Genomic DNA, 19,064 nt, shown 5'->3' on the forward strand with positions numbered 1-19,064 from the left:
TATTTTATAGATATTTTGTAACAGAGCGTAAAGAGTATCCTCATTATTTATTTATTATTATTATTTGTTTTTTGGAGACGGAGTCTTGCTCTGTCACCAGGCTGGAGTGCAGTGGCGTGATCTCGGCTCACTGCAACCTCTGCTTTCCGGGTTCAAGCATTTCTCCTGCCTCAGCCTCCCGAGTAGCTGGGACTACAGGCGCACGCCGCCATGCCTGGCTAATGTTTTGTATTTTAGTAGAGATGGGGTTTCACTGTGTTGCCCAGGCTGGGCTCGAACTCCTGAGCTAAGGCAGTCCACTCGCCTCGGCCTCCCAAAGTGCTAAGATTACAGGCATGAGCCACTGCGCCCGACCTTTCCTCATTATGTTATGGCTATGAGTATCCTATAAATGGATGTTTTACAATTTAGTTAACCAATATCTCTGGAATTCATATCAAATAAGGAATTGGATGGGTATTTACTCCATTATCCTTCCGCACCCATATTCTCCAGTTTTACTTAATAAAACTTGGGATTTGGGACTCACATTTTCTCTATAACTTTTTGTATTATGTATTTTCTAGGAATTACTATTATTGTATTTTCATTCAGTTTCAAATGATTTCATAATAAGTATTTAGACTTTCTTCATTCTTGAGCTCTTAAGTTGGCTGGGAAATAGCTTCATTTTTTTTTTTTTTTTAGAAGACTGGATGAATGGTACATTTTCTGAGCCCTCCCATATTTAGATTGGCTTTTTGTTGTATTCACTTATGAACAATCCTTGGCTAGGTATAACATTCTTTTTTTTAATATTTTTATTTGTAGCAGCCCTATTAACTGAAGTATAACATTCTTGAAGGAAAATTTTTTAAAATGAATGATTGACATTCATTTGAATGATTGACAGAAAACTAATGTTAAGGCTGGGCGGGGTGGCTCACGCCTGTAATCCCAGCACTTCGGGAGGCCGAGGGACGGATCATGAGGTCAGGAGATTGAGACCATCCTGGCTAACACGGTGAAACCCAGTCTCTACTAAAAATACAAAAAATTAGCCGGGCGTGGTGGTGGGTGCCCGTAGTCCCAGCTACTCCGGAGGCTGAGGCAGGAGAATGGCGTGAACCCGGGAGGCGGAGCTTGCAGTGAGCTGAGATCGTGCCACTGCACTCCAGTCTGGGCGACAGAGCGAGACTCCATCTCAAAAAAAAAAAAAAGAAAACTAATGTTAAAATAACATAATGTAAATCTCTACTGCTGAAATTAGGAACAAAAATGTCACTATGGAAAATCAGTAGGACGAAGTGTAAATAAAAATGAAAAGGCAAGCCACATATACCGGATGTATTTGTAATACATATATCTGGCAAAAGGCTTGTACCTAGAATTATATAATCTTTTTTTTTTTTTTTTTTTTTTTTTTGAGACAGTGTCTCATTCTATTGTCCAGGCTGGAGTACAGTGGCGCGATCTCAGCTCACTGCAACCTCTGCTTCCCGGGCTCAAGCGATTCTCTCACCGAGCAGCTGGGATTACAGGCATGCACCACCATGCCCAGCTAATTTTTGTATTCTTAGTAGAGACAGGGTTTCACCATGTTTACCAGGCTGGTCTTGAACTCCTGACCTTCAGTGATCCACCTGCCTCGGCCTCCCAAAGTGCTGGGATTACAGGTGTGAGCCACCGTGCCTGGCCTATAAAGTATTCTTATAACCTAATAATAAAACAATAAAAAACCCCACATGAAAGAAAATGAGCAAATGACATGAACAGATGCTTTTCAAAAGAAGATATAAGAATGTGCAAAGTAAATGAAAAGGTGCTCAACATCGTCATCAGGGAAATGCAAATTAAAACCATAATGAGATAGTATTTTACACCTAGTTAGAGGGCTAAAATTAAAAGGACAGAAAATACCAAGTGTTTCCAAGGATAAGCCACAACTAGAACTCTCATACATTGCTGGTGAGAGTATGAAAGAATGCAACCACTTTGGAAATAGTTTGGCAGATACTCACAAACTTAAACATATATTTACACGATCTAGCAATTTTACTCTTGAGTATTTACCCAAGAGAAATGAAAACCTACGTCCACAAAACGATTAATACCTGATTGTTCACAGCACATTTTCCATAATGACCAAAAACAGTCTAACTGTAGATGGATAAACAAATTATGGTTTATTCACACAATGGACCACTACTGATAAATCAAAAAAAAAAAAAATAGCTAGTGACACCTGCAACAATATGGATGAATCTCACAAACATTATGCTGAGTAAAATAGAGTCACACTGAATGACCCTTTTTATATGAATTTTGAGAAGAAGTCAAACCAGTCTGTACTGATGGAAACCAGATCAGTGGTTGGCTGGAATGGGGTTAGGAAGAAATGAGTGCAAGGGTACAGCGGAATTTCTGGGGTAATGGAAATGTTCATGGGGGTAATGATTATGTAAGTGTGTTTATCTGTGAAATCTCATTGAACAACACATTTAAGATGTACACATTTATGGCCAGGCGTGGTGGCTCACACCTGTAATCCCAACACTTTGAGAGGCCAAGATGGGCGGATCACTTGAGGCCAGGAGTTCAAGACCAGCCTGGGCAACATAGTGAAACCCCGTCTCTACAAAAATACAAAAAAATTAGCTGGGCGTGGTGGTACACGGCTGTAATCCCATTTACTCAGGAGGCTGAGGCAAGAGAATTGCTTGAACCAGGGAGGCAGAGGTTGCAGTGAGCTGAGATCACACCACTGCACTTCAGCGTGGGTGACAGAATGATACTGTCTAAAAAAAAAAAAAAGTACACATTTATTGTATATGTGCGGTGGTTAATTTTAGGTGTCAACTTGACTGGATTAAAGGGGTTGGCAGATACACGCAGCTTCTTTATCTGGGCTCTAGTGTCTTGCTGGCAATTGTCCAGTCAGGTTCTGCTAGACTCACATAGGCTTTTTCTCTGTTGTCTCTGTTTGGTTCCCTGACTTGCTGAATTGATTGAGTATATGAAACACTGCAATTTCAGATAGGCACTGATAGGTGGCCTACTCACATTTCTGCCTATAGCAGTGTGCTTGTGATAACTCCACCTCCCAAGATGCCATGTGGCTCTCCCCACCCTCACCTCACCAAGCCTACATATTTTCTCATTCATGGTTTGGCCCTGCAGTAAAGCCTTGTGTTTGACAATGTTTCCCAAACTTGAGCATTATTCTTCTTTTTAGAGGGAAAGGTCTCATGATTTACCACAGTTGACCTAAATTATTTATATTAGAATGACATTTCAAAAACTATAGATCTAAGACTAGATATGAACTCTGTGTTCTTACAACTCTTACACATCCGTAAAGCCAAAATAAAATTATAAATGAAATGCAGATCAAACTAGCAAATCAATAAAATTCAAATTTATAATTTATAATTTGAATTTTATATTGATATAAATATATAAATATAAATTGAATATAAATATTAATATTTTGCTGAGATGAAATTGCCCCTTACAATATGAATATGGTGCTGACGGCTCCATGCAGTTTCTTTTGAGACTGAACACCTGTTCTACCCTGAGCCACAAAATAATCCAGTTCTCCACCACTTGTCTTTCATCTCCCTGTAAACTTTTGTTTACACAGCATGCTGTGATATCGTTTGGCCTTTACTCAGCCAAAAGCATCATCCTTATGTTCTTTTCTCATTATCTCTTGATAATTATCGCAGTCCTACACGTCCCCATGCAATCATATACACTAATACAGATGGGAACTCTGAAATCATTTGGCAGTACTCACATCTGGATGATTTTAGGGGTCAGAAAACTATGGCCTGCTGGCTAAATCTAGTCCACTGCCTGTTTTTGTAAATAAAGTTTTATTGGATCATGGCCATTGTCTTTGACTGCCTTCATGTTACAACAGCAGAGTTGAGTATTGGCAACAAGGTCCTGCAAAGCCTAAAATATTTGTTACCTGGTCTTTTACAGAAAAAAGTTTTCTGACCTCTGTCATATTCATCTGTCTGTCTGTTGTTGTGTATCTATTTGAAGATTATTATCAAAAAATTGAGAATTAACTTTAAATATGAAAAACTTTTATAACCCCAGGAATATATCTGTGGACCTTTTTTTTTCCCCAAATTCCAGTTGAGGACAGAGTAATAAAATAGATGCTTATTGAGATTTACTTACGTTCACACCACTTACACCTTATATGATATCACAGAACAATCTTTGCCAGTTCAAGCTGAGGGAGAATTAAGCTAGACAAGATAAAAGAACTCTATGCTTAATACTGCAATTCCTCCCACAGACAGGGTTTATCAGAGGACAATCAGGAAACAGTACTAATAAAGCTGTTTGCCAGAACCAAAATGGCTGTTCTGAGGATGGAATAATGTCTACAAATGTATCTGCACTCCTTAGAGAAAGGGGATGTGGATACAAGATGATGCTATTTCCTTTCTAAGTCATGTTTTCTCGATTGGCAGATTGGTCTCATAGGACCTCTACTCTGTTGTGCAGAATGCCCTTTAAAACGATGAGCTATCTTTGAAAACATGACTGGCAAAGCGCGACCCAGCAAGTCACAGTTTCCATCACAGTGACACATAGGCCTGATTAGCACATTTCCCGGGCACCAGCTGATTTTTCCACAGAAGCAAGGCACCTGGGAGCAGATAACAGCAACAGAAATGACAGCAGCCCTTGGGCAGGGAACAGAAATCAGAAGACAGATCTCTGGGTCCTTGCTTCATAAGGGAAATCATTTCTCCTAACTGTTTTTAAAATGAAGGGTAATGGTTTGGATGTAGGGTGATGACCATTGTAAGAATTCTATTAGCTGAGCAGTTGTTATTCTTTTTTTTTTTTTAAAGAAGGCTAAGACAAGGCCATAGATTTAGATTAACTTGCTTGGCTCTTTTATTATTCTCCTTTATTATTAAACTTCCTCAGCATAATGTGATTTGGGCAGACAGAGATGTTATCCTGTGGCTTATTGTTGGCCTATATTCTCTACCAAAATATAGCTAAACTATTGAGCGCAGAGACCCAATGCCTAATACAGTGCCTTGTATAGAATAAGTGCCCAATATGCATTTGTGGAATAAATGTGTTCTTTATAATCAGGCAGAAGTAGTATGTTCATGGAAGAAACATTTAAAACTACTAGTGATAGTAACAAAATCGACTTCAGGGTCATTTCTTTTGCTTTTGTTGCTTAATTACAGTTTATGCCTTTTTTCCAGCCTCAATAAATTTTAAAAAGAATTGGTTTAGTACATTATTATTTTCTTCTAGTAATTTTTTGTTTAGTTTTTTTTTTTTTTAATTAATTAATTTTTTTGAGACAGAGTCTCATTCTGTCGCCCAGGCTGGAGTGCAGTGGCACGATCTCCGCTCACTGCAAGCTCTGCCTCCCAGGTTTACGCCATTCTCCTGCCTCAGCCTCCCGAGTAGCTGGGACTACAGGCACCCGCCACCACGCCTGGCTAATTTTTTGTATTTTTAGCAGAGACGGGGTTTCACCGTGTTAGCCAGGATGGTCTCTATCTCGTGATCTTGTGATCCGCCCGCCTTGGCCTCCCAAAGTGCTGGGATTATAGGCGTGAAAGTTTTATTTTTATAGAGTCTAATTTAGTATATCCCTGCTTCCTAGAAAAATAAAATACTCTGAGGGCTGGGTGCCATGGCTCACACCTGTAATCCCAGCACTTTGGGAGGCCGAGGCGGGCGGATCACGAGGTCAGGAGATCGAGACCATCCTGCCTAACACAGTGAAATGCCGTCTCTACTAAAAATACAAAAAAAATTAGCCGGGCGTGGTGGCAGGCGCGTGTAATCCCAGCTACTTGGGCTGAGGCAGGAGAATTGCTTGAACCCGGGAGGCGGAGGTTGCAGTGAGCCAAGATCGTGCCACTGCACTCCAGCCTGGGCGACAGAGTGAGACTCCGTCTCAAAAAAAAAAGAAACAAAAAAAGAAAAAGAAAATACTCTGCTTCTGTTTTTTGTGGGAAGCCTCAAGTAAATGAAGAAGACTGCCTAATGGAAGCTCCTTCCAGATGAAGGAGAAAAAGCATATGAACAAGTGAAAGGTGTTAAAAACTACATGTGCCCTTGCATAGGATCTGATTTCATTTTTTAGTGCAAAAGTAAGACTGTAGACATTACTTCATTCTGGGCAAAATGCTACTCTCTGGCCTGCCCAATAGACTAGCTCTCTGACATTCTCTTTCTTTTGACTTTGTGTGGGAAATTCCAGGAAAAAGCCAAGATCTGAGAGTCCAGACCCTCCTGTGTGCAACTGAAAGCCAACTTTTCAAATGAGCAGTACTATTTAGACTGCTCCCATAGTATGCAACCAGGAATTACGTATGAGGAAATGGTAAATTAAGAGGCATTTAGGAATGGTTATGATTAAGTATTTTCCTCACAAAGAAAGAATGCAAAGTAGAGAAAGCTCCTTGTTTCTAGAACTAGGGAAACTTTATTCCACGCCAGTACACATACATTCCTATGTTTTTAAGGGTAAACGTATTAATCTTTTCCCATTAGAAAGATGCCGGTGAGCCAGTAATTTCTAAATCTGTGTCAGTTAATTCTTTTGTTTTGTGATTTGTTGTTGACTAGTTCTTGCTTACCCTCCTGGCACTGCGCTTACTGTACACGACATATGTGAAAGTCATCATGGTTTCTTTCAGACATTGATGATTCTGGCAGGCATGTATATACCAGTTCTCATTGCTGTGGATTTTTGTCTTGGACTTGACATTCATGAATGTTCCATGTGAGTAAAGCACTCAAGTTTACCTGTGACCACCTGGAGCAGTATGATTTGGTGTCCAGTTAGCTGATCCAGCTTAAGGGGAACTGGGTCACCTGCATTGAAGGTCAGAGTGGCCGGTGAGACTTGAATAACAAGCCTGGTGGGGCATATTCCTTTAGGTATCCCGTTAGCCAACAAGGAAAACCTATAGAGGCGCTTGTGTTCAGCAGATGGCGCTCTTTTACCTAGTTCACAAGAATGATCTTGAAGGTCATTCTCTCTTGCCTCTCCTGTGCCTGAGGCGGTACCATGTTGCAGGCAAGGAAAACCGAAGCCTTGCTGGGTAGCATCAGTGCTTGCAAAGTGGTGGCCTGACCTGGCACATTGCCCTGGTTAGGCAATGCTGGTGCCCAGGGCGTCTTACTGTCTCGTTTGTTCTGGTGCCAGTTACAACCCTTGAGCAACTGCGGAGAAGAACTAACAAGAGACAGTCACGCTATGGGTATTCACGAGGGTGGCACTCACTTAGAAAACTGGAAGGTGTAGACGCGGCATCTGCAAAGTCCTGACAGAAAGCTAGTTTGCTGAAAGACCCAAGCAGTGGAGAAGGAGGCCAGGAGGGGAAGAGCAGCCAAAATGGGGAGCTCTCTCTCCTTTTCGTGAATGTATTATATTTATTGTACAGATGTATGTATATTATATATTTAAAATATATGATATATACATTCTCTATAGTATGTCTGTATACACTTATAAGTGTACATGTTTCTGAATATACATATTCCTGTAAACATTGTTAGGCATCTTTAATTTGTGATACAAAGATGTTCCAAAGTAATCATAACATATATAATAGTTTGGATAGGAATTGCTGAAATAAGGAATTGTGGTTAGAGAAAGAAACAATTTTGAGGTAGCAAAGTAGCAGGGGCTACTGAAGGATTGAGGAAAGAAAGATTATATGTTAAATAAAAGCACGTATCAATTTGATATTTCCGAATGCTTCATGCTGTTTGTCTAACCTATAGTGGAGAGGTTGAAAAAGTAAAATGGATGGTTTTCATAGGAAGAATTTAAGTGCCTGTTTTAATTTGCAGTGAAAACAATAACTCTTTAATATGAGAAGTTCCATGAGATGCTTAACTTGGCAGAGCTATGATCTAACTTAGCCTCTGCACAAGCAGAGTGGTTATGTGTGTGTGGTTATAGCTGTGCTTTTAATTATATTAAGTGAGTTTATCCAAGACTCACCTACTAATAGGACACTGACTTTTCATAAATTTCTTATTTAATTTACTATTGGTAGGCATGACTGATGTGTAAAAATGACTACCGTATCTTGATTTTTCTTCTCTTAAAATTTTTTATGAAAAATGATTATCTCAGCTAAGTTTCTCACAGGTTTAGTATAAAAAGTTCTCTCTCCTCTCATGAACTGACTACTCCTTCATGTTCTTCCTTTTTCCCTCTTCACTGAGAATTATTCTTCCTCCTGTGGAAAATAGAATCTTCAAAACTATTCACAGGACAGTTTTTAGAAGTCATTGAAAAAATAATTAAGATAACTGTTTTAACACTCTTTAGTTATGATACTTATTTTCAAAATTAAATTTTATTTATTTTTATTTTTATTTTGGAGATGGAGTTTCACTCTGTCGCCCAGGCTGGAGTACAGTGGTGCAATCTTGGCCCACTGCAACCTCTGCCTCTTGGGTTCAAGTGATTCTCCTGCTTCAGCCTCCTGAGTAGCTAGGATTACAGGTGCCCACCACCACGCCTGGCTAATTTTTGTATTTTTAGTAGAGTCAGGGTTTCACCCATGTTGGCCAGGCTGGTCTTGAACTCTGGACCTCAGGTGATCCTCTCGCCTTGGCCTCCCAAAGTGCTGGGATTACCGGCGTGAGTCACTGTGCCTGGCCCAGAACTATATTTTATTTTATTTTATTTTATTTTGAGACGGAGTTTAGCTCTTGTTGCCCAGGCTGAAGTGCAATGGCACGATCTCAGCACACTGCAAACTCCGCCTCCCGGGGTTCAAGTGATTCTCCAGCCTCAGCCTCCTGAGTAGCTGGGATTACAGGCATGTGCCACTATGCCCGGCTAATTTTGTAGTTTTAGTAGAGATGAGGTTTCCGCTATGTTGGCCAGGCTGGTCTCAAACTCCCGATCTCAGGTGATCCACCCGCCTCGGCCTCCCAAAGTGCTGGGATTATAGGCGTGAGCCACTGCGCCCGGCCCAAAAACTAAATTTTAAACTGCCTCTTGTGATTTGAAAATTGATCCATTTCAAGTTCTGTTATAGCTGCAAAAAGCACAGTCATCTAAGGAAAATTTCAGTCCTGTTGTGGAGATGAAAATGTCTATTTGGGTCTTGTAACAGCTGTTATTGTCAATACGTCATACGATACATGTATCTTACTAGTGAGACAACTGAAGTATGAGAGTTTTTCCCCCTAAATACAGTCCAATAGGAGAAAGTGATGTAGGGGCGTTAGAGAACTCTGGTCTCTTTCTGAGGAGGTCAGAAGTCCAGCTTTACAGAATCTGCCCAGAAAGAAGGGCAAGCTGGGTGGCGGCTTGTGCCTGAAGTTAAGGAGTGCTGTTTCCTCTGCATCCCTTCCTACCAACCCTCTCTGTTAGTCTTGCTAATGAATCCCGACCTGGCTGTGAAATCATCCAGTGGTGTGAGGGGTTTCTGGCCTCTGCAGAGGAAAAACTCTGGGTTAATTCAAGTACAGTGTGTTCTCTTTGTTTTGCAGCTGGTGTAGCAAAGGGAGTCTAGTGCAAGTGGATTGAATCAAAAGGAAAATGAAGGCATTCACTGTCTGTTTCATCAAGGATGGCTCATTTAAAGTAAACACCATTTAAATAGTCTCCAAATGGCCCATTCTATATGAAGTCATACAGGATGCCCCCTTTAGGCTGTCATTCTCCTTTAAATGGATCGCTTTGTGTGGACTGTGTTTTAATGCCATTCAACCTTGAACTCCATATGTGGGCCTCATCAGGTCGCGGTTTTCAGTACACATGTGGCAGCCATACCTTCAGCATTCTTTGCCTTTGCCTTCAGAAAATTAGCCTGAGTGAGCATCAAGGGTAGACAGCTGTAAAGATGAGAGCTTGCAGATGAAGACTACAACAACAACAGATGATGACAGCACCTAATGTTTCTTGAACACTTACTTTGTGCCAATTATTATGCCTAGTGATCACTCTATAGATTATCTAATTTAATCCTAACTTAATCCTCACAGCAAGATACTATGATAATTCTCTTGTTATACATGAGGAAACTGATGCATTAGAGAAATTAAGTGATGTGCCCAAACTGGTAAATGCAGAGCAGGGAATTGAACCCTAGCTGTCAGATTCCAGAGGTGGAACTCAATGAATGGACATATCCAAAAGCAATAAACTCTCATTAATTCTCTTGCAAGGTAGGCTTATTCCAAACAATAGACAATCCTGAAATTATTTATCTTTGTTTTGGGAATGCATGCTCTGCTTTCTGGGGCAGTATTTCCACCTTATTCTTTGCAATTTTTGTAGGCTGATTGGAAGATAAGGTTAGGTGTTGTTCCCTGTGGCAGTGGGCAGTCTTCATGTAAGATTGGGCTCATTGGAATAATCCATGAAGAGACAACTCAAAAGAGACTTTTCTATCAAATGAGGATACTAGAAACATCCTCATAGCAGGGAACTAATGAAAATCTTCTCCAGAGCACTAGCAGCGCTCCATGATCTCAGCGCTGGCTCCAGCATTCAACCAGGATCCAGGCAAGAAGCCCAGGGCCAGACTCTAGTGAGAAGCTTCTGAGAAGAGTTTGACAAGGAATTGGGTTTCTGGCTGGTTCTTATTTGGCCCAGCCAATTGATCTGCCCCGATTTGACTGTCACTTGGTAGCCAAGAAACCTTTTTGCTTTTAAAAGCTTGAAGTCTGAAACAGTTGATTCCAAATGAGCTCTACTAAGTAGAGGAACTTTAGGAATCTAAGAAAATAAAAAAAAACTTGCGCGCTGTATAGGAGGAAATCATCTTGAGCACTTAAAGTATGAATTTGTGTGATATTTAAAAACCAATTATTTTATTTCCATTATTGAACTTCAGAGAAGACTGTGAGGAAACAATGACAGTTTTAACATATTTTTATTGGACTCACCTCAGGTTCTGTTACCACTATTGCTATCTCACTCTCAAACTCTGGGTCATTTACGGTTTCTGACTTTTTAATTGCTAATCTCCATTTCTCTCCCCTGCCACATCCTGCTGTGACTTCCGGTGTCTTCCCCATGTCACCTTGAGAGTGCAGACATGCTGATGAAGGTGCTGGGTTGTGATGGGATTGGGCGCTCTACGTGGATTTCTATTGACCTTGTGCAGGGATCTAACAAATACCTCTACTCCATTAGCAGTGTTTTCTCTTGGAAGTAAGTTTCAGTTTCTGCTGTTTCCACAAGTATCATCTTGCCCATGGACTACGTGGATGGTACAAGAACCAGACAGGCAGCAAGAAAATCAGGTCAAAAATTCAACGCAAATGTAGGGAGAAAGCCTGTTGTGCGTAGTGCTTCATTCTTAAAAGGATTTCTTAATAGGCTAGTGCCTGCTCCTTATCTCTAAATTGCTTCTTTCTTCTGAGTTATATTTCATCATTTTAATAGTACCTTGGTACCAGACGTGTTATTCTTTTTCTGTTAAGATTACCTTTTAATTAATTGATTAGTTCAATTATTTTACATTAAATATGCAATATTTAAAGAGTCAAGTAATTCTGATGGGTTTATTATACCCGTTTTCCCAAGCAGCAGTCCTTTGTAATCTCTCTTCCTCCATTTTTCCTGCTTTTTAGAAGTAACCACTTTTACCTCTTTCGGCTGATTACTTGATATTTACCTGCATGTCCTTCAGTAAGATGCTTTATTGTTCAGGGTTGTTCTTCCCACTATGGCAGGTAAGTAATTTAGCTGTCCTCCTCCCTCCCCAAACTCCATCATACACAAGCCCCCTTCCTAAAATCCTGTCTTCTCAATGTAATTAATATCATAATGTTGATTAGATCAGTATTCTTCATTTATATTATTATTATTTTTGACATAGGGTCTTCCTCTGTCGCCCAGGCTGGAGTGTAGTGGTGTGATCACAGCTCTACTGCAGCCTGACCTCCTGGGCCCAAGTGATCCTCCTACCTCAGCCTCCCAAGTACGTGGGATCACAGGCAGGCACCACCAATGCACCTGGCTAATAAAAAAAAATTTTTTTTTGTAGAGATGGGATCCCCCTGTGTTGCCCAGGCTGGTCTTGAACTATTGGTCTCATGTGATCCTTTTACCTAGGCCTCCCAAAGTGCTAGGATCACACCACATCCGGCCTTCATTTATATCATTATATTTTTGTGTGTTATTAAGAGCTAAGCCTTGTAGCAAAACTGTGACTTATTATTTCTGTACATGTTAATTTTTTTCTTGGTTGGAATTAATAATTGTCTTATGCTTTGTTTTTTTTTTTTCCCATTTGCTTGTCCTTTTGGATCTTGATTTTCTAATAGAGGCTTTCTAGGGATGGCTGGAAGCTTGCATGCAAGCATTCAGGAGCAGGGGACTGAAATATGAATTGGAAGCTGTGAATACATTTGGAGGGCTTGTCAACCATCAGCTTCACCATAGACTGATTTCTTAAGCTAATCCCCTTCTTTCAGTCTCTTGCCTAGACAGTGAAAGCCTGGCTGTCAGCCTTCTGGAACCAAATAAGGGAGGATGGCTGGTGGCCTCAGCATCCTATGTGCATGTATTCATCTAATTCCATTCACTTGCCTTCAACTGTGCCATTTCTCCTCCAGCACCACAGCTGCCAGTTCAGAGGCCCTCCCTTTAGTCTTTCTAGAAAATAAACTTCCAGTTATTTGTTGGGATATGTGTGGGATGGGCAAATAGCCCAGGTGTGCAGGGCTGGGGAGACCATCTGTGGATCTGACCACTTCTTAGATGTGCAGCTGGGCCTGCTTAGTTTAGCATTTCCTCTACCCTAGAGCCTTTTGGAGCTTCTAAGGGGTAAAATGAGGTGGGTCTTATCTTTCCCTACTGCCAACTTAGGATTCAGGTCTGGATTCAGGTCTGCTGTGTCATTTGCCACTCTGCCATCTGCATTCTAGCTTCCAGTATTCTGCAGGAATTGTCTCCTGCTTTATTCTCTCTCTCCTTGTTGGTTCATGTCTTTAGAAAAGAAGTTCTTTTACTGTTCCTGAATAGAGTCTGGGGAGGAAGCAAAGGTGGCCTCGGCCTCATACAGTTAAACCTCTCTTTTTACCTGAAAGCCTCACCATTGCTGCTTATTTACTGAGCTGCCAAGGGTCTGAATTTTTAAAAAGGAAATTCTAATGGTTCTTGGTAAACTCTAAAATGTACTTCAGAGAAGGAATGACAGACCACAGCCCTTTGATTAAGAAAATGTGTTTTTTTTAGGATTTTTTTTTTAAACCAGAGGCTTTCAAAAGATTTAGTTCCTTACCCATAACTTCTTGCTTCTTCTTCCATCTGCACGCTCCTTTCTGCCTGCTTCAGCTCTCATTATGTTTCCAGTAGAAAATGAAAGTTTTTATGGAGCAGTCATGGGAGACATTGGGTTCCAGGTAATGTAGGTAGTTACGGAAAGACAGAAAAATGGGAGAGGTGGAGTCCCTATAGCCCATCATGTCATATCCATGTCATTCTTTCATCAAGACGTCTGTGACTGTCCCTACCTCCTTCTACTGGCTTGGAATCAGAGCAGTGATTCTCTTTGAGGCTGTGGTTTTGCTTCATGCCCAGTAGAAGCTGTCACTGGATTGGCTTCAGTGTCTCTGGATTTGATTGTCCCTTTAAGGAGGAGTATGCCTTCAACTTGTTCTTTTTTTTTTTTAGACGGAGTCTCGCTCTGTGGCCCAGGCGGGAGTGCAGTGGCGCAATCTCGGCTCACTGCAAGCTCCGCCTCCCGGGTTCACGCCATTCTCCTGCTTCAGCCTCCCGAGTAGCTGGGACTACAGGCGCCCACCATCACGCCCGGCTAATTTTTTTTGTATTTTTAGTAGAGACGGGGTTTCACCGTGTTAGCCAGGATGGTCTCGATCTCCTGACCTCGTGATCCGCCCGCCTCGGCCTCCCAAAGTGCTGGGATTACAAGCGTGAGCCACCGCGCCCGGCCAACTTGTTCTTTTTGTTGGAGACCGAGTCTCACCCAGGCTGGAGTGCAATTGTGCGATCTCGGCTCACTGCAACCTCTGCCTCCCAGGTTCAAGCTATTCTCCTGCCTCAGCCTCCCGAGTAGCTGGGATTACAGGCACGTGCCATCACACCTGGCTAATTTTTGTGTTTTTAGTAGAGATGGGGTTTCACCATATTGCCCAGGCTGGTCTCGAACTCCTGACCTCAAGTGATCCGCCTGCCTCTGCCTCCCAAAGTGCTGGAATTACAGCCACCACTCCCGGCCTACCTTCAACTTCTTAGCTACAAAGAGAGGGATCTCAAGAGTGGCCCTTCTGGTTCCAGAAGCAGGGTGCAGCTTCCAGGCAAGTTGGAGAGAATGGCTGGCTCTGGTGGGTTTCCAGCAGTTCTGAGCACATCTTTTGTCTCTCTCTTTCAAGTAACTCTCTTCATGGCTTCCAGACTTGAATCTCACCGAAATATTATTTATTTTTTACTAAGTCCTACCTTCCTGAGTTCAGAATTTGTTTTGAGATAGACAAAGGAACCATGCACGTGGAGATCAAAATCTAATCTCTATTATTGGTTTTTAGTGGTAAAGCACTTTAAAAAATGTCATGTTAGGTCTGCTGGCCAGTAGGGGCATGTTAATATTTCAGCTCTGAATTTGACATCCAATCACCGACCAAATTGGACAACCACAGGCCAATTTGGTCAGTGATTGGATGTCAAATGTGTTTAACCCTCTAAAACTTAAAGCAAGAGAAGGAATAATAGCTCCTGTAAAGGAGTTTGTGAAGGGACTGAAAGAGAGATTTACGCTAACAGAAGTTCCTCCCTATGGGAACATGAGGAGTGGAGAAATGTGTTCCATAATATAAAGTGATATCCCATAGCAAAGACATTGAATCAACTTAAATGCCCATCGATGTTAGACTGAATAAAGAAAATGTAGCACATATATACCATAGAATACTATGCAGTCATAAAAAAGAATGAGATAATGTCCTTTGCAGCAACATGGATGGGGCTGGAGGTCATTATCCTAAGTGAACTAACACAGCATCAGAAAACCAAATACTGCATGTTCTTACTTATAAGTGGGAGGTGAACACTGAGTACACATGGATACAAAGAAGGGAACAACAGACACCAGGGCCTGCTTGAGGGTGGAGGGTGGGAGGAGGGTGAGGACAGAAAAACTACCTATCAGGCTGGGCACAGTAGCTCAAGCCTGTAATTCCAGCACTTCAGGAGGCCAAGGTGGGAGGACTGCTTGAGCCCAGGAGTTCAAGACTAGCCTGAGCAACATAGTGAGAACCTGTCTCTCAAAAAAAAAAAAAATGTAAGCTGTGTGTGGTGGCACATACCTGTAGTCCCAGCTACTTTGGAAGGTGAGGTGGGAGAATCACTTGAGACATTGGATATTGGGTATACAAGAGGTTGAGCTGCAGTGAACTGTGATCACGCCACTGCATTCCAACCTGGGCAACAGAGCGCGACCCTGTCTCAAAAAAGAAAAACTACCTATCGGGTACTATGCTTATTACCTGGGTAACAAAATAATCTATACACTAAACCTACCCCTACCCTGCCTCATGATGCAGTTTATCCAAGTTTGTTATACAAACTTGCACCTGAACCTAAAATAAAAGTTAAAAAAAAAGATGATATAAATTCTGCTTAAGACACACGATTAATGTATAGCAGATGCTCGGAAAATATACCATTGTTAAATCAGGTTGTATGACACATTCAGATTTCAGAAACATGAAAATTATTTTTACATCTCAGAAATGAGGGGAGTATAGTGTTACAAATTATCAGCCATTCATTCCTTTGATAAAAAGCCTCTAAGGTTTGGACCAAGTGGAGAGTACACCCTCAACTGGAATGGGGAGCCCCAGCTCTAATCCTGGTCCTGTTACAAACTAGTTAGGAGTCCTTGGCTCCGTTAAACCTCTACACGTGCTTTTCATCTGCTCAGCAAGGAGTGGAAGACCAGCTAAACAGATAACAGGGACTAAGGGTAAGACCTGAACTCCCACAGCTAATTAATTTCAGAGTTGGGATGAAAACCCAAGTGTCTCCCTTCCCTAGTCTCATGTGTTTTCTACTATATTCATTTTATATTGCCTTGAATTGAATTTGGACAAGATAGTTACAGCACAAAGCAATCACTGCTTTGCTCACTCTTTCACTCATTCAACAGGTATCAATTGAGCATTTTTTTTAATGCTAAATACTGTGTTGGATGAATGAGACGTATTCTGTCTCTGTAGGAGCATACAGCCTGTGGCCTTCTGTGTTTACAGCTGTGAGGGACCCCCTGCACTACCACCCTCACGTGAAGGGCTTCAAACTGATCCGTGGAAGAGACCCAGACCTTCCTGGTTGCCTTGAAGCCATCATCCCTCCTGTGCTTTCCCTGAGCCCTGAAATGTGCCCTTTCTGCTGACGTGACCGACCTCCAAGAGTTGGCTCTTACCAGCTTATCACAAAAGCTCTTCAAGTGCCTCGAGAAGAAATTATACAGCAGAGCCCAGGATCATATATTGGCCTCATTATGGTTTTTCTCTTCCTGTTTACAGAGTGCTCAAGCTGGTATTACTATGTAACTATGCCAATGCCAGCCTCCACCTTCACAATTGCAGTGGGATGCTGGACAGAAATGAAGATGGAGACATGGTCATCAAATGATTTGGCAACAGAGAGACCCTTCTCACCTTCTGAGGCCAACTTCAGGTTTGTGTTTGGGGACTTGCTGGGAAGGAAAAAAAAAAAAACACTTGAGGGAGCGGTATGATGCATTTCTTCCAAGCACTGGGAATGTGAGTCATTCCTGCTGAGAAACTAAACCAAAATAGGATTAATCAAAGCAGGAAAAGCCCTATTAGAAAGGAAAGAGAGGGCTAGGCGCAGTGGCTCACGCCTGTAATCCCAACACTTTGGGAGGCCGAGGCGGGTGGATCACGAGGTCAAGAGACTGAGACCATCCTGACCAACATGGTGAAACCCCCGTCTCTACTAAAAATACAAAAAAATTAGCCGGGCGTCCCAGCGACTCGGGAGGCTGAGGCAGGAGAATGGCTTGAACCCGGGAGGCAGAGGTTGCGGTGAGCTGAGATTGCGCCACTGCACTCCACCCTGGTGACAGAGTAAGACTCTGTCTCAAAACAAAAAACAAAACAAAACAAAACAAAACAAAGAAGAAAGGAAAGAGAGGCTGGGCGTGGTGGCTCAGGCCTGTAATCCCAGCACTTTGGGAGGCTGAGGCGGGTCGATCACGAGGTCAGGAGTTGAGGCCAGCCTGGCCAACATGGTGAAACCCCATCTCTACTAAAAATACAGAAATTAGCTGGGCATGGTGGCGGATGCCTGTAATCCCAGCTACTTGGGAGGCTGAGGCAGGAGAATTGCTTGAACCTGGGAGGTAGAGGTTGCAGTGAGCCAAGATTGCGCCACCGCACTCCAGCCTGGCGACAGAGCAAGACTCTGTCTTGGAAAAAAAAAAAAAGGAAAAAAGAAAGGAAAGCGAGTTGAGAAGAAGAGATGTGAGCCTATTATTTATGCAGAAAGAGAGAAGAAGGTAAGTATATATGAAATCATGTGAAGTCTGCTGAAATATTTATATGTGTTTGGCTAAATTCAAGGAATCCTCAGATTCAATGCCTCCTCTCCTCCCATACCTTTTAAGTTTGGTTTTCAGTGCTTATGTGGTCAAAAACATAGCTTCTGATGGATTACTTTCTATGCTACTCTGCTGTTTTGGTTGTACCAACTGCTGTTAGCGGTGCACTGTAGGGACAGCATCTCCCTCAGTGGGGCTAGTCGCCGCTTTAGGAGCACAGGACACAAGGAAACTGATGCAAAGCCCTTGGGTTAAGGGAATCCTGCTTGGTCAGGGCTTTGTTAACATCAGTAGTGATTTCTTTCTTTTTTGAAGTATGAACCAGATAAAATCATTTTGAGGCTTTAAAAAATTACTATAGGCCATTGGATATTTACTGGCAGCCTGTCTAGATGTTCAATGGTTTCTAGCTTTGAGAGCCAAAAGAGGGAGAAGGGGGACGCTGAGAAGGTGCACAGCACATGCATCATGCTGCACTCCCAGGATTTTATACCCGGCTCAATTGTGTCATTTTTCCTATTGACAGACAGTCACTAAGTCAGTACCTTCTGGTGGAGAAAGCCCAGGGTAATGGTAGAGATGATTAGTTACTCCTTGAAAACCAGCTAAGGTATACTCCTAATGCAGATTCCTTTTGTGTTGGTTTTATTTTGTCATGCTGCTTTTACTAGTACCACAGTAACTGTGGCAGTTGGTCTTCATCTTTCAGAGATGAAGCTATGTTCTCTCTCTTCTGATGGGCATGTATTATTGCCTGCATTTTTCCTTTTTTGGCAGAAGGGAGGTAATTTCCACTTCCTGTTCAGTAGCTTGCCTATTTTGGACTGTCTTTCCTGAGCTATATGAACATCCTAGATTGCGTATTAGATTTTACTTCTGTATTCTTGAGGGAAGAAGGGAATTGTGGGCAGAAGTGACATATTCTAGTTTCATGTGGGAACTTTAATTGCATGTGAGATCCTCCTGTGCTCTCTTTCCTGCAGTACAAAACAGAGCCTACAAAACAGAGGAGGCTTTGTTTTGTAATTTCAGGTGGTCTGAATTTCTGAGTGAGGATGACAGGTGGTCTGGAGAGTCACTTAGATCTACAGTGGACTTGGTATTAGCAAGAAGCACACTGTTTTGTGTTAAGCCACTGAAACACCAGGGTTGTTTGTTACTGCAGCATATCCTAGCCTATCCTGAATTGATACAGTAGCCATTAGTTGTTCCAAGTCAGAAACTAAGTCTTGATCTAAATATAATCTCATTTAGTCCTAAGGATAAGCCTGCAAAACAGATTGGATAGATTATTATTCCCATTTTATAGATAAGGATATTGAAGCTCAGCAACTTGTTAACATTAATGTCCCTACTAAGTAGCAATACCTGGATTTATATCCAGGCCTGACCCCAGAGAGAGGTGAGTCAGAATCTTACCTGGAGACTTTAAAAAACTGTATGTAACATTAATGCCTCACCTGGAGTCTGATCCACCTTCCCATCTGGAGAGTCACTGCCATGATT

General features: G+C 41.9%; 1 protein-coding gene across 51 annotated transcripts in view; it reads left to right on the forward strand.

Annotated features, from left to right (window-relative positions):
* The window catches only part of AOPEP (aminopeptidase O (putative)), a 423,526-nt gene that overhangs the window by 49,548 nt on the left and 354,914 nt on the right, over window positions 1–19,064 (forward strand). For 50 of the 51 annotated variants that reach the window (NR_169862.1, NR_169863.2, NR_169864.1 and 47 more), the window contains one exon: window positions 16,519–16,672. The exons of the other annotated variant lie outside the window; for it this stretch is intronic. Coding sequence is in view for 38 of the 50 variants with exons in the window: in XM_011519121.4 (XP_011517423.1) it covers window positions 16,519–16,672 (154 nt within the window). In the remaining 12 variants the exon portion in view is untranslated. The remainder of the gene's footprint in view (window positions 1–16,518; window positions 16,673–19,064) is intronic. 51 annotated transcript variants of the gene reach the window in all.

The sequence above is a fragment of the Homo sapiens genome, chromosome 9 (assembly GCF_000001405.40).
Source record: "Homo sapiens chromosome 9, GRCh38.p14 Primary Assembly".
Taxonomy (NCBI): Eukaryota; Metazoa; Chordata; class Mammalia; order Primates; family Hominidae; genus Homo; species Homo sapiens.